The 15,640-nt window shown below is 49.8% G+C and overlaps 1 protein-coding gene across 35 annotated transcripts in view, besides 2 other annotated features; it reads right to left on the reverse strand.

Annotated features, from left to right (window-relative positions):
- The window catches only part of RIMBP2 (RIMS binding protein 2), a 320,167-nt gene that overhangs the window by 101,203 nt on the left and 203,324 nt on the right, over positions 1 to 15,640 (reverse strand). For all 35 annotated transcript variants that reach the window (NM_001351227.2, NM_001393621.1, XM_047428628.1 and 32 more), the window contains one exon: positions 9,313 to 9,435. Coding sequence is in view for 7 of the 35 variants with exons in the window: in XM_047428629.1 (XP_047284585.1) it covers positions 9,313 to 9,435 (123 nt within the window). In the remaining 28 variants the exon portion in view is untranslated. The remainder of the gene's footprint in view (positions 1 to 9,312; positions 9,436 to 15,640) is intronic.
- Positions 6,560 to 7,060: an enhancer, noted in NCBI's record as "H3K4me1 hESC enhancer chr12:130988440-130988940 (GRCh37/hg19 assembly coordinates)". NCBI's record gives its function as "activates a minimal SCP1, AML or CMV promoter by ChIP-STARR-seq in naive H9 embryonic stem cells {active_cell/tissue: H9 hESC(naive)}" and the evidence as "EXISTENCE:reporter gene assay evidence [ECO:0000049][PMID:30033119]".
- Positions 7,061 to 7,561: an enhancer, noted in NCBI's record as "H3K4me1 hESC enhancer chr12:130988941-130989441 (GRCh37/hg19 assembly coordinates)". NCBI's record gives its function as "activates a minimal SCP1, AML or CMV promoter by ChIP-STARR-seq in naive and primed H9 embryonic stem cells {active_cell/tissue: H9 hESC(naive and primed)}" and the evidence as "EXISTENCE:reporter gene assay evidence [ECO:0000049][PMID:30033119]".

The raw sequence follows: 15,640 nt of genomic DNA on the forward strand, positions 1-15,640 counted from the left end.
TTCTGCTCACAGCCTCTGGTGGGTCCACCAGTCCCTGCCTCTAACTGCTTCTAGATTGAGCTCTCTGAATCTAGAAACCTTGTGAGTGTGAAGTTAAACCGTCCTTCCCTGCCAGGACTCTAAAATAAAAGCAGCTGTCGCTCTACCGCATCCGACGAACAGAACTGTCTCACGGGCCATGGGAGAAGGGGCTGGAGAGATGCGTTCTGGCCGTGGCTGTGAGCGAAGCACCACCGGTTGCAGTCCCTTTACCCAGGAGCTGGGGAGAGGCTGAGGACCCAGAATGTCTTGTGTATCAGGCAGTAGAAACTCACATGAAAAACACATGAGGCTTTTTTTGTTTTGTTTTTTTGCAGTGAGTAAAAAAGCCCAATGCGTTTTTTATTTGAATCTGAGAAGCTGGAGAATAAAAAGCATTTTGTTTATTTTATCACAATGCACTCACTTCTGACAGGCACCCTGCTTCAGAGGAGTGCTGGGTGTTTTGATCAGACTCCTGTGCCAGGACCTAAGAGGAGGACTGACTCTGGGTTAAATGCAACAAGGAGTGCGCGGTGGGGAGATCCTTGTCTGACACCAGCCTGGGCTGAGGAGATGCCGGAAATCACCAACTCTCCTGTGTTTATTCCCCTTGGAGAGTCTCTGTCTATTCCAGAAAGGAACTGCAGATTGATCTGTAGATGTGACTTTATACAGTCACCTGTGAGCCCCAGAGAAGCACCTCTGCAGAGAAGCACCCTGACTCCAGGCCTCCTGCTGCTCGGTCATTCTCCATGAAGGCAGCACTGACTCCAGGCCTCCGGCTGCCCCGTCATTCTCCATGAAGGCAGCACTGACTCCAGGCCTCCGGCTGCCCAGTCATTCTCCATGAAGGCAGCACTGACTCCAGGCCTCTGGCTGCTTAGTCATTCTCCATGAAGGCAGCAAGTGTCTGCAGTGCCGGTCGGTTCAGCGAGGCAATCTGTCAACCCCTCACTCATTCATGCGTGCACTTGCTCCGTTACTAATTCATCAATCAATCAGTATTTATCGAGTGTCTACTATATGCCAGATTTTGTGCTGGGCACTAGAACAAAGGCTGTCTTGAGGATGTTACATTTTGGTAGGGAAGACAAATACACAGGCAGACAGTTAAAGCAGACAAGATGAGTGCGCTGAAGAAATGGAACCCAGTGATGTGCAAGTGACCAGCAAGGGGGCCTCTGGTCCTTTAGACCAGGTGGCCACGAAAGCAACATGAAACTGAGACCCAATAAGCCAGGAATCAGAAATACAAAGTGCTGAGGGAAACAGCATTCAAAAAAAAAAAAAAAAAACACTCAGTGCAGGAAATCCGAGCTAGCCTGTGGAGAGGCCACATGAGGAGAGAAATGTCTGGCCTGCCCCCTCTCTTCCAGCCATCCCAGGAGAGGACAACATGCAGGCAAAGAGCCAGCCAAGGCTGCAGATGATTGCAACTTCAGTTGCCATCTGAGCGTAACTACCCAAGTGGAGGCCCCACGTGAGAACCATGTAGCTGCCCAGTCAACCCACACAGCCATGAGACATCAACACAAATCACTAATCTCAGCCACTCAATTTTGGGGTTGCATTAGTCCATTCTCACACTGCTATAAAGACATACCTAAAACTGAGTAATTTGTGAAGAAAAGAGGTTTAACTGACTCACAGTTCCTCAAGCTGTACAGGAGGCATGGCTGGGGAAACCTCAGGAAACTTACAATTACAGTGGAAGGCAAAGGAAACGCAGGCACATCTTCACATGGCAACAGGAAAGAGCATGAAGCAGGAGGGGCTACACACTTTTAAACCAACAGATCTTGTGAGAACTCACTCACCATCACAACAGCAAGGGAGAAATCTGCCCCCATGATCCAATCATCTCCCACCAGGTCTCTTCCCCAACATTGAGAACTACAATTCAACATGAGATTTGGGTGGGGACATAGAGCCAAACCATATCAGGGTGCTTTGTGATACAGCAATAGCTAACTTGTATACCTCTGTGCGGTCTCCCTGCATCTCCTCTTGCGTACTACGTCTCTACAGAGTTGCAGATATAATTCCTTAAAAATTCAGGTTAGATCACATCATTCTACTGTTGAAAACCCTCTAATGGCTTCCCATCTCGCTCAGGAAGGAAAGAGCCAAAGTCCTTATCTTGGCCTTCAAAAGCTTTAAGTGATCTGCTCCAAGTCATCTCCCTCATCTGACCTCATCTTCTAACTATTTCCCCGTGTTCATTCTACTCCTGCACCTCGGGCTTCCACACACTTCTCAGACACAGCAGGCATTCACCCTCTGCCCCAGGACCTTTGCACCTCTGCACAGCTCCCTCCCTGGCTTCATCCAGGTCTCTTTTCAAAGGACTCACCCACAGTGAGGTCTCCCCAACCACTAAATGTAAACCAGCTCTTCCATGACTATCACTCTTCGCCTCTTTTCACTTCCCCACCTGACCTGCACATTAATTTATCAACTCTCTACCAGAACCAAGGGCATGGATTTAGATCACTTTTTCCAGAAACTAGAAAGCGTTTGATGCAAAGTGGTTGCTCAATATTTTTGAATGAATATATCTTTAGGTGTGGGTTCAATTAGATTTCTTTATTTTTAACTTTTATTTTAGGTTCAGGGGCACATGTGCAAGTTTGTTATATAGGTTTTAATCAGGGCAAGGACTGTAGGCTTTGAAATTCTTCAGGAAGCCAGTGCCTGAGGTAAACAAATCCATTTCCCTTTAAAATCTGTATATCTGGACATACTCTTCTGACTCTTCAAGTGAAAATTACTTGGCAGCCCCCATAATACGGTCAAAAAGGGCTCTGTAAAGAACCATGTGGGCTGGATGCAGTGGCTCATACTTGTAATCCCAGCACTTTGGGAGGCTAAGACAGGCAGATCACAAGGTCAGGAGTTCGAGACCAGCCTGACCAACACGGGGAAACCCCATCTCTACTAAAAATACAAAAATTAGCTGGGCGTGGTGGCAGGCCCCTGTAATCCCAGCTACTCAGGAAGCTGAGGCAGGAGTATCGCTTGAACCTGGCAGGCGGAGGTTGCAGTGAGCCCAGATCACGCCACTGCACTCCAGCCTGGGTGACTGAGCGAGACTCCTTCTCAAAGAAAAAACAAACAACAAAAAATAAATAAATAAGCCATGTGTTGCTGTGCATAACCAATCACAGGCTGCAGGGAAGCAGGGCACGTTGTCTTTAGCTAAATTGAATGATCACTATTAAGACAGGCGGCACATCAGTGATATTTGGAAACAAAAAAGCCAGCATATGAATGTGACCAGTGGGCTAATTTTCAGTTCAGACAGGCCCTGAATGCACATTGGCACAGCTCCACAGCTGTAACTACCCCCGTTAACACAGGACGGGCAGTCTTAATTCACAGGCCGCATGTCCCCTCTTACCCCTCAGTCACTTTAGGACATGGAAGACACAAGACGCGTCAGGTGCTAGATGAGAACGGTGGCCACAGGATTTGGGAACAAAGGCCGTGGTGATGGCTGCCTGAGCTTCATGCTTTAACCCAAGTGAGCCGCTTCTATCACTCTACCACACGCGTCATCTAATAATGGAACAACATGGGTTTCTTGAGGATCAGCAGGGAGGTCCGTAGAGTGGGAACCCGGAGCTCTCCCACCCGAGCATCCAGGGGTCACGACACACTCCATCTCCCACACGTGGTGACGCCCTGACCCTGAACCGCACATCCCCAGGCTTCCCTGTCACAGCAGATGACACCATTGCTGCCCCAGAAATTAACGTCCTGACTCCTTCCTGCCTCTCACACTCCACGTCCAGTCTATCAGCAAACCCTGTTGATTCCACCTTGAAGACACACCCCGAGCCTGTGCACTTCTCCCCACCCTGCCTTGCTGGAAGCCCCCATCATCTCGCATCAGGACATGGCTCCCAGTGGGGTCCCTGCTTCCACTCCTGTTTTTTTTCTGTGCGGCCACTGGAGTGACCCTCTACAAACCAAAGCCAGATGCACCTCCTCTCTCAATTCCAGTGGCATCTGACATAAACTGATTGAAAACTATGCCACAGTCACTCCCTGCATCTGAGGTAGGAGGGTAAGAGATGGGGGTTGGACTCTGGACCACACAGCACTAGCTAAATTAGGTCCCAGGTAGAAGCACCTTCCCATGAGACGCACCGCAGTGCCATGTCAGTTTACCATTGCCATGGCAACGTCCAGAAGTTATCGCCCCTTTCCATGTCAGTGACCCAGCCATCCAGAAGTTACCACCATTTTCCAATAATTTTCTGCATAACCTGCCCCTTAATTTGCATGTAATTAAAACCTGGTTTAAATACGACTTCGGAGCTGCCTTTGAGCCACAACTCTAGGCGCACAGCCTGTGAGGTAGCCTTGCTCTGCAAGGAGCAGGACCTCTGCTGCTGCTATGCACAGACACTTCAGTAAAAGCAGCTAACCCCACCAGCTTGCCCTTGAATTCTTCCCTGGGCAAAGCCAAGAACCCTCCCATCCTAAGCCCTGATTTGGGGGCTCCCTGCCCCGCACCACATCTACATTCTTGCTGACGTAATTTCTTGGCTCCTCATAGCTGGAGACAGAGTCAGCTTCCCCATCCCCTCAAACCAGGCAGACTCTGAGCCTTGCTTTGGCCAACGGAATTCGAGAAGTGCCTTGCCCCATTCAAGCCTGGGCCTTATGAGGTCTTCCATGCCTCTGCCTCATTCACGGCCCAACTGTACCCTGGCCAGAAGCCCTGTCTTGCCTGATGGAGGAGGGGAGAGCAAGGAGCAAGGCAGTCACCCCAGCCCAACCAACCAAGACCCTCCAGTGGCCACCCAGGTGCATGAAGCCCCGGCTGGACCGGAGGAGCTGTTCAGTCCAGTCCGGTCAAGCTGAGAAGCTCCATGCAGCCAATCAGAGGTTTGGGAGCAATGATGGACTGTGACCGCTTCAAGCCCCAGGCTTCGGGACGGTTTGTTATGCAGTCTTATTGGGACGGGGGTAATACATACAGTTCTACAGTTCTTGGAATTCTACCTTGGCCTGTAAGACTCTGGCCAATTTATTCCCAATCCGGGTTTCATTTTTTACTTCCCTGCCCCTCCCCATTCACTGTCCGGCCCACTTTCTTCTCCTTGGACATGTCAAGCATCCATACATCCCAGGCCCTCTGCACTCCCCCTGCCTGGAATGCTCCTCCCTGAACACTGACAGGGCTGCTTCCTCCCTCTGCTCAACATGTAGGTCTAGGGAAGCCTCCTGGACCACTCTTTTAAAGTGCCACCATCAGCAGGAACTGATTTCCTCCTCGTTTACCCAATTTATTTTTCTGCAAAGCACTTATCACTGCCTGACAGTGTATCACACGCATTTGACTTTTTCTTCATCGGGCAGTTGAATGTTGAGGTCTATTTTGCTAACTGCTATACCCCTGGTGCCTGCAACAGTGCCTGGTACATAGTGCTCAATCAATCCTTGTGAATGAATGAACAGTCATGCAATAAGCAGCTCATGGCCCAGGGATGCCACGTGTGTCTCACTATATAGATCCCTGTTTAGGTGCACCGATGTACCCCTTTCCCTTGGTAGGGATGGAGGGGACAGGGAAATTCCCCAAAAGACAGGGTGGACTTGCAGGCGGAGTCTAGTTAGACCACCCCACTTGGTTCAGACTCCAGTGCTTTTCCATCTCTTGGTATTTTAAATTCCATAGACCAGGAATGAAGGGCTCCAGAATACTACATTTTCTCTTGTACAAGTCCCATCAAAAAGAACACAGCTGGGCATGGTGGCTCATGCCTGTAATCCTAGCACTTTGGGAGGCCAAGGTGAATGGATCACTTAAAGTCAGGAGTTCAAAACCAGCCAACATCGCAAAACCCTGTCTCCACTAAAAATACAAAAAAAAAAAATATTATCCGGGTGTGGTGGTGTGTGTCTGTAATCCCAGCTACTCGGGAGGCTAAGGCAGGAGAATCTCTTGAACCCGGGAAGTGGAGGTTGCAGTGAGTTGAGATCATGCCACTCCACTCCAGCCTGGGTGACAGAGTAAGACTCCATCTAAAAAGAAAAAACAAAAAACAAAAAAAACACCAAAGAACTCTTCTTGAGTTCTTCCCATATATGGGGCAATCCAGCCTTAGCGTTCCTCCCCAATCCTCCTTGCTAACGATGCAAAAAAGGCTTGAAAACTCCATATGCCATTAGGCTCTTCTTCTCCAAAGGAAGAGACTTGGAAAAATTGCTCCTCCATTGCTATGAAAATGTTCCTGACAACCATTTCTTCTGTATTTTTCTGCATCCTCTAACATAACATTCCGAGTAAGAAAACCATGTCCAGCACGCCATGCTTTGTTTTGCTGGGGAAGCAGTGAGCTCCCTTCCCCGAAGGAGTGAGAATTATGCAATTGTTCATATTTTCTTTTCTGTCCAGCCTCCCTGGAAACTCGGAGCCAAATGAGAATCTTGGAGTAACTATGTTCAGCCTCTGAGGTGGTATATCTTAGTTCTTTCTTCTCTTTATGCAAACATTCCACTTCCTTCATATCACTTCATTATATTTAATGATTTTGGTAATTAGGCCATATGCTTGGAAAGAAGCATAATAAAAACACATTCACAGATAATGAAGTCATCAATTATCATTTTTTAAGTAAGAAAATCAGGAGGGACTCAAATCAGGTTAAATATCACTGTGTGATCCATGCTGGGAGCAGGGGGGGGTGTCTAGTCAGTTTCAGTATTGTTCTCCCATGATTGTTTTAGGAAACATTCAGCCCCAATTTCAGTCTTTTCTATTTCACTGAAAGCTTTTATATTTGGAAGGAAAACTACATCCCGTTCACAATTCAGTAAAACCCAGTGGTGGGTGTGATTTGGTGGCCCGGTCACCAGGCTCTTCACCAGGCTGGCACTTCAGTGTCTTTGTTCTGTGCAGGCAAAGGGGAGGGGCTGTGAGCCGGCCCTCAGGCACACTTAGCTGGGAATCCTGCACCCCCTGACTCCTCCCAGGATGGGTCTCTGATCCCAGTAGAATCCTCTTCAGCTCTCAGCAAATCAGGTTGATTGAAACTCTGTTGAGGTTCCAATTCCACTCACATCACTGACAACAAAAGAAAAAATGCCACCAACTCAAAGGGTGTGAGGTCAGAAAGGAGGGAAGATGCTGCATCGCCGGCTTTGAAGGTGGAGCGCGAGGCCCTGAGCAGCCCTTGCAGCTGGAAAGGCAAGGAATGAATTCTCCCCAAAGCTCAGAAAGGCACGCAGTCCTGCCAACACCAGATCGTAGCCCTGTGAGGCTCATCTCAGACTTCTGACCCCCAGAACTGTAAGAGAATATGACTACGTCGCTTTAAGCCACCGAGACACTGTGGGATCACTTGCTACAGCAGCGATAAGAAACAGACACACGGTTTCTGAGCTCAGTACCACTGACACGTGGGACCAGGTGATAATCTGCTGTAGGAGACTGATCTGCACGGATCTGCGCGTGGGAGAGGGTTTTACATCCCTGGCCTCCCCTTCCCCAGTCATATCAATCAAACGTGTCCTCAGACATTGCCAAATATCCCCTGGAGGGCAAGTTGGCCTCACTGAGAACCATCTTTCATGGCTTTTTAATCCAACAGACTCTCCGCTAAGCTCCTTCCTCCCAGGGATTCACGGCACACCCTCCATTAAATTCACTAAGCCCTGAACCTGTGTCCCAGGCACTAAAGGCAGAGGGTTGGATAAGTCACGGTGTGTGCCCTCAGAAAACTCACAGTCATCGAGGCAGCTGCTTAAAGAATTATGTGGTAGCACCTCCTCTCTTGAGGGTTACATCCTGAAAACTTAGAGCACACAGTGAGAAGCAGGATGGTGAGCTTGCTGAGAACCGCAGGACCAGCTTGGTTCACATTCAGGGCCGGTAGTCAGAGAATAGGGCATCTTTCTTTGCTAATCGAGATGGCATCATTCTTTTCTAATTGAGATGGAATCCACATGCCATGAAGGTCACCATTTTAGTGTGCAGTGCCCCATGGTTTTGGCACTTTCACAAAGTTCTGCAGCCATCATTACCATCTAACTCAAGAACATTTTCATCACTCCAAAAAGAACCTCATACCCCTTAGTGGTCACTCCTCATCCCCATCCCCCCCATCCCCCACCCCCTCCACTCCCCCCACCACCATCCCTGGAGGGGTCACTCCTCATCCCCACCCCCCACCCCCTCCACTCCCCCCACCACTATCCCTGGAGGGGTCACTCCTCATCCCCAACCCCCACTCCCTCCACTCCCCACCATCATCCCTGGAGGGGTCACTCATCCCCATCCCCCACCCCCTCCACTCCCCTCCCACTATCCCTGGAGGGGTCACTCCTCGCCCCCATCCCCCACCCACTCCGCTCCCCCCACCACTATCCCTGGAGGGGTCACTCCTCATCCCCACCCCCCACCCCCTCCACTCCCCCCACCACCATCCCTGGAGGGGTCACTCCTCATCCCCACCCCCCACCCCCAGCACCCCCCCATCATCCCTGGCAACTATCCAGAGGCTCCCCTCAGAGCTCCAAACGCTTCCCCAAAGAGGCTACAGATGGAGGTAAAATCACTTCTTGATTTAAAGAGTATTTGCGGATGCAGCCTAATCCTGTTTTCTGCAATTGTGAAATGCAAATGACCCTGGTAATATATGTACTGGATCATAGAACTGGAGATGATTATTTTTTTATTTTTGTAAAAAAATGTTTTCCAGAATGATAATCCAATCAAATTTTAACACTTGGTGAAAAAATTCATTCAGCTTAACTCAGTGGCATCAATAGCAAATCAACCCACTGGCTAAATATTGAAGGAGAGCTCAGCTCATCAGGAATGCATGAGGAACATCCAGTTACCTGTACCCCCTGATAGAGCAAGGTTCTGGTTTAGCTATCCTCTTTATAACAAAGGTCATTAAACGTCTGAGGAGCAGCTTAAAATTCCTGAAGTTTGAAACCCACTGTAGCCACCTCTGGTCTTTAACGTAGGCAGACTCCATTTCCATTCAGGAGCGGTGTGCCTGCCACTGCACAGCTCAGCTGTGTTTAACATCCTAAAAAATGGAAATGCATAATTGGCTTTACGGGATTGCTTCCAGAAACACTGGAATTTTGTTATTTATTGCTTTTTATACCACAAAAAGGGGAAAAACAGCCCCAACATCTCTGAATGTGGATGATGGCTTCCAAAGGAGCTTTACATACCTTCTGCTCGGGGTCCTGCAGCCCCTCCTTCCTCACACCGACCTCACAAAGAGCAGAAGCGGTCCCAAATGCAGAAAGCCAGCTTACCTTCAGGACCTGTTCTAGGTTCTCCAGCTTGGCTTGGAGCTGGTGTTTCTCCTTCACGGCCAAATCGCGCTCTCTGGTCACGAGGGTGAGCGGATGGTTGAGATGCACATACTCTGCCTTCACCTGCAAGCGGAAGGGATGGAGACAAGGAGGTTATCACAACATGCCTAAGAGTTGGTATCCGTTGCTTCCTCTTTAGGAGCAAAATCTTCAATTTCCTCCTAGAGAATCCTTCCCTCCCTCCTTCTCCATCATGGACTGGGTCCACTCCTACTAGGGGTCACTACACATGACCAAGGGCTGGCCAATCAGCAGACGACCTCCATCTTCCTCCCTCCCACCTCCACCACAGCCTCAGTGATTGGTTCAGGGTTGCAAATGTGTCACAGGTCTGGCCAATCAGTGTAATCTCATCCCCTGGATGTGGTGATTGGTTGGGGAAGTCACATGACCCAGTTGCATTCTGGGGGAATGAGATCTTGCACTTGTATAGGAACCCGGAAGAACTCTCCCTTTTGCCCACTGGACTCGGAAAGTTAAAGACAAACAGCTGGAACTACTGTGGCCTTTGCCATCACGAGGGAAGAACCCATCTGAGAACAGAGCCAATGAGATAAACACAGAGAGATGCAGAGGGAAAAGCAGGATCCCCATGGCATCATTTGAGCACCCAAATCAAGCTGAGCCTGAAGCTAATTGTCTTTTCCTTTTCAGTCACTTGGACCAATAGATTCTCCTTGTTTGCTTACACCAATTTGAATCGTCTGTCCCCTGTAACTATGAGAGCCCTAACAGATACAAGTGTTTTCCCACTGTCTAAGCATATTTATTCTTGTCTAAAAATTTTATCTCATCTTAAAAGTGAATAAAAATGCCAATGAAATTCCACATGAACTAGAATGCATTCCCCCAATAAACCCAAAAACCACATAAATTCCATTCTCAGGCCACAACCCCCAGGGCCAAGCTACAAGCTTATTGGGAAGGCAAGCGCCATGTTCAGTCTCTCTCCTCTTCGAAACAAGTAAGGGGATGCTGTCAACGAAAGAAGTCACCATGGTTCCTTTCCCATTCATTTTCATTGTGGAGGCAACATGTTTTAACCCAACGGCAGCCTTGTAATTTCTTTTCCTCCTCCTCAAGTGTTATGATGTGAATTATGGCTTCAATAACAGACTAACATAATGTCACGCTTTTCAGCTGCAGAAGTCCTTTCTATTTCAAATACATTCTGTACTGAGTGTTAGTTTAACCTGACAACTTCTGGGGCACCAAAAGAAAGGGAGGCACCCACTTGGCATTCCCAAATGGGAACAGGGTTACAGGAAAGCTGTTATTAAGAGGTCGTAGAGAGGTCTCATTCGAAGGAATATTTTAATGCCATTTTGCTGCAACGTGATGTTATCAGGCAACGAACTTAGAGAAATAATCCAAATGCCCCCGGAGAAAATGTCACGACCTATTTGAATTAAACCACCCTCACTTCTGAACCTCAATACCCTGGGGTGCAGGTTTGCAGAAAGCATCACTTCTTGCATCCTAGCTGTTCAAGAACATTAGGACTTGGGGGTCATGCTTGAATGCCCCTAAATTCAGTCTCACACGGTGACCAGCACCATCTTTCTGAAATACCTGCCAGATCTTGCCTCTCCCTGCTTGAAACCTTCTGTGGTTTCCACAGAAATTAGAATAAAATCCAAACTCCTTGGTGGTCTAAAAGTCCTACCCACCTGCTACCCTGTTGCCACTATGCTGGGGACACCCTGGCCTCCTTCTGTCCCTTAAACAGGTCAAGCTTCTTCCCACCCCGGGGCCCCTGCACCTGCTGATTCCATTGCCTGCAGATCTCTACCCGGCCCTGCCCCAGTCTGCTCAGGTCTGGCTCCTTCTCATTAGGTGTCACCTCAGACAGGCCTTCCCAACCCTTGCAAGGTGACGAAACCCTTGCCTTCACCCCCTGCCTCCATGCCCCTCCCTCCCACACCACCATGCTTTGGTGTCCACGTGTGCTCAGCACTGTCCTCTGCGGCTGTTTGCCTTCTTCCTGTGGCTGCTCCTCATTGGAACAGAAGTGTCACCAGACAGAAGTTTTCTTCTGCCTTGCAATTTCCCATCATCAGCGCCCAGAGGACCGCCTGGCAGGGAGTCAGTGGTCGAGCAAGATTTTTGTACTGAATGGAATGGTGTTGAGGAAATTTCCAAGAGTGGAAAGGTGGCCCTGGCTCCTGGGTGGACTATTGCTGTCAGCCCTCCCAGACACAGGCCCCACTGTCATCAATCCCCCTTTGTGTCCTGAGAGGCTCATCCTCATGGCCTGCACCCCCCGTACCATCCGGCTTCTAATCAGGCTTGCCCAGTGGAAGACATGATCAAGAAATGATGGATCAGCATGACCCCCGGCCCCCGGCCCTCCCCACCAGCCTGCAGGGATTACCCTGAGCTGCTCCCCTTAGAAAGGCTGCTGGCGAGCCTGGCCCTTGGCTGGAGGCCTGGGAAGCAGGATTTGGGGAGAATTCCTACCTTCCCTAATTGATTAGGGCGGCTTACCACATCTAGGCCACTTGAACAGGACAGTTTATGCTGAACACCTTTCCTTCTGGGAGTCGGAATTTCAGTATGTGCCGGACAGAGAGTGCCCATGCCACCAGGTCCCCATAAAAACTCTGGCTGCTGAGGCTTTAATGGGCTTCCCTGACAGATGACATTTCACACACATCACAGCTTGCAGCTGCAGGTCCTCTAAGCATCCTGTGTGATTCTTGGGAATCCTCTTGGGAGACGACCTGGAGAGCCTGTACCTGGTCTACCCCGGCTTCATTCTGTGTGCCTCTCCCTTTGCCACCTGTGCTATGTGTCCTTTTGCTGTAATAAGTCACAGCCCTAAGGGCAGCTGCACACTGAGCCCTGCGAGTCCTCCCACTGGGTGGTGGAACTGGGGTAACCCCCAACAGTGTCCTTCTACAGGGAGGGCCTCTCCCACACCCTTCTCCCTGTACCCATAGCAGGTGGCCATGGCCCCCGGCCTCTGCTGGTCTCAGACTCCCAACCTCCTTTGCAGGTGTCCTGCCCATGCCCTCTGCCCCCCCGCCCCGGCAACAGCACCCACACCTTTGTTAGTACTTTCTTTTCTAAACTCTGCTCCATCCTCCAGTTTGCAAGTGCTGTGTATTTGCTATTGTGACCCTGATGGGTAAAATCTCCAAAGGAAAAAACATTAGCAGCCCAGAAGCACCATGATGGCTCAGAGGCTCCCTACATAAGGAGTTTCTAGTTTGGGGAGGAATCGATTCAGATTCGTGTTTCACAGAGAAGCCAACTTGGGTTTCAGGCTCCATGTGCAGAACCCAGCATGAAGATGCATTTATTATCCAGCTTTTTATAAGAGCACTGGACAGTCAGGAATTGCCTTCTAAGGGTCAGCATCCAGTGCTTTGGTCAAGAACAGACAACCTCCAACCTGCGGACAGGCTGCCGTTCCAGTGTGAACCTGGAAAGAAATCACCGGGCACCGGAACGCATTCTCCCACAGGTGTGTTACAAACGGCGCCAGAAGCTAGAGTCCAGCTGGCCCCTAAATCCTATTTGTCCCACAGTAGAGCTAGAAGGGAGCTAAATTTAATACGGTAGAGTGGAAACACTGTGTTTCTGCAGTGGACAATATGGTGGCAATTGCAGTGACTTAAGGCAATAATGTTGGGGGAACGAATGGGTGTGTTGACCTCGAGGTGATGCTCATAAGCAAAGTAAAAGGAAAGATCTTGGAGGAAGGTGAAGAGTCCAGACAGAGTCCATGGAGGACCTCGGGGCAAGCCAATGACATTTACTCTTTCTTTTTTTTTGAGATGGAGTCTCGCTCTGTCACCCAGGCTGGAGTGCAGTGATGCAATCTCGGCTCACTGCAACCTCCACCTCCTGAGTTCAAGGGATTCTCATGCCTCAGCCTCCCAAGTAGCTGGGGTTACAGGTGCACACCACCATGCCTGGCTAATTTTTGCATTTTAAGGAGAGACAAGGTTTTGTCATGTTGGCCAGGCTGGTCTTGAACTCCTGACCTCAAGTGATCTGCCCACTTCGGCCTCCCGAAGTGCTGGAATTACAGATGTGAACCACCTCACCCGGCTGATATTTACTCTTTCATGGACCTCGTCTCATGCCACAATTATGGTTTTGCATTTCTTTGACTTAAAATTCCCCATAGTGTCATCTTTTTGTTTACCAGAATGATGAAGGCCATGGCTCTGGTTCGCAACAAGGAGGAGAGGGTGTGTGGACAAGGAGGGGGAGGGAGAACCGAAAAGACTGATTTCCTGGATGTATAATGGCTGAATAACGGCCCCACACAAAGATGTCCACATCCAAATTCCTAAAGTCTGTGAATATATCACTTTTTGTGGCAGAACGGACCCTGAAGATGGGATTGCATGGAGCATCCTGAGAGTGGGAGAGCACCGGGGTTATCCAGATGGGCTCTACGTAGTCACAGAGCCCTTATCAGGAAAAGCAGAGTCAGAGACAAAAAAGAGAGAGCTTAGGTGATGCTCTGCTGCCAGCTTTGAAGATCAGGGAAGGAAGCCAAAAAAAGGCAAGAGGAGAGACTGTCCCCCAGAGCCTCAGGAAAGCACACCGGCCTGCTGACATCTTGACTTTAGGACTGAAGACCTCCAGAGCGGTGAGACACGGTGGTGTGTGTGCTTGTAGGAATTTGTCACAGCAGCAATAGGCAACTGATGCGGAAATCAGCTAAACAGCAGTCCTCGTTACCGCGAGCACGCGTCGAATTGTCACTCTACACCAACAACTGGCATCTGTCCCTGGAAAGCCCTAAGCCCCAGTGAGCTGGGTCCCACCCCTCCCTATTCCCCCAAGTCAAGGTTTGTCACTTCCTCTACTGGTACAGCCCCCAGGGCTTCAGTCACCCCAGTGGCTCCCCTAACCCTGCCTGCACCTCCTTAAGAATGCTTAGCAACCCTCAATTGCTTTTGGAGTATGCGCCATCTCTCTCCTGCTGGGACCAGACTGAGACCGTCTGTGACACGGTTCTGATGAGCCTGGAGCAGAAATCTCTAGAGGACAATGACCTTTCATGAAACAGAGCTTCGTGAGAAAAGCTTCAGCCCCTCTTCCTCCCACCACAGTGGGGATGCGACCCTTCGAGATGGAATACCACCTGTCTCGGTGTCAAGGAAGCCACCCTCCACACACGTCTCTGCTGGACAGGAGCCCCTGGGCCCTGGCTCCTTCTCCAGGCAGCTGCCTCTGGCCAGGGTCACCACCTCTGGGCTTCCTGAGCACAACAGTGCCCTTCGTATGAAACCCACCAAGCTCAGGCTTCTGTGAGGGGCAGCTGGAAATAACCCCAGCTGATAAACCTGGAGAAGGGGGCGTTCTCTAATTCAGCAGCCGCTGATCCCACCTGGATAGAGGACTGATGCCACTAAATTAAAACACGATAAATATTGGCTCCCACGGGCCACTCAAATGCTGGCGCCTGGGGCCGGTAGCCCAGAAGACAGCCTGGCAGTTTCTTCTCTGCCTGGTTGGGCTTTGCAGCCCAGCTCGTGCCAGGGAGTCTTGGTGGATGGGTCCTTGGTTGACAAATGCCCTGGCCTCTGGCTGAGCACAATATAGGGGTGCTGGGATCCCCGCTGCATCAAGGTCTCTGCCTCAAAGTCCATTGCTTTCTTTTTTTTTTCTTGAGAGAGCCTCACTCTGTCGCCCAGGCTGGAGTGCAGTGGCATGATCTTGGCTCACTGCAACCTTCACCTCCTGGGTTCAAGTGATGATTATGCCTTAGCCTCCCAAGTAGCTGGGATTACAGGTGCACTCCACCATGCCCAGCCAATTTTTGTATTTTTAGTAGAGACAGGGTTTCTCCATGTTGGCCAGGCTGGTGCCAAACTCCTGACCTCAGGTGATCCACCCGCCTTGGCCTCCCAAAGTGCTGGGATTACAGGCGTGAGCCACCGCACCCGGCCTGGGTCCCTGTCCCATTGCTCCTGGACTAGAACAGTCTCCTGGATGTTCTCAAGGGCCAAATCAGTCTCCTACTAAAGGAGAAAGTGGACTCAGAGTGACAAAGATGACTCAGAGATTTTCACTAAGACACACAACCAAAGAAAAAACATCCCAGATGTTCCAGGTTAGGAGCCCAGACGATTCTTCCTTTGTCCTGATGAAATGCAAGATGAACAACAGTTCCCTCTTATGCGATTTTTTTTAGAGAATAATATTCAGCTGCAACCCTGGGCTGGACACTCACCTTTCAGTCAAAAACTAAGCCTCACGAATCCCAAATGTCTATGTGTGTCATCCTTTTAAACTTTCATAA

This window comes from Homo sapiens, chromosome 12, assembly GCF_000001405.40.
Source record: "Homo sapiens chromosome 12, GRCh38.p14 Primary Assembly".
Lineage (NCBI taxonomy): Eukaryota > Metazoa > Chordata > Mammalia > Primates > Hominidae > Homo > Homo sapiens.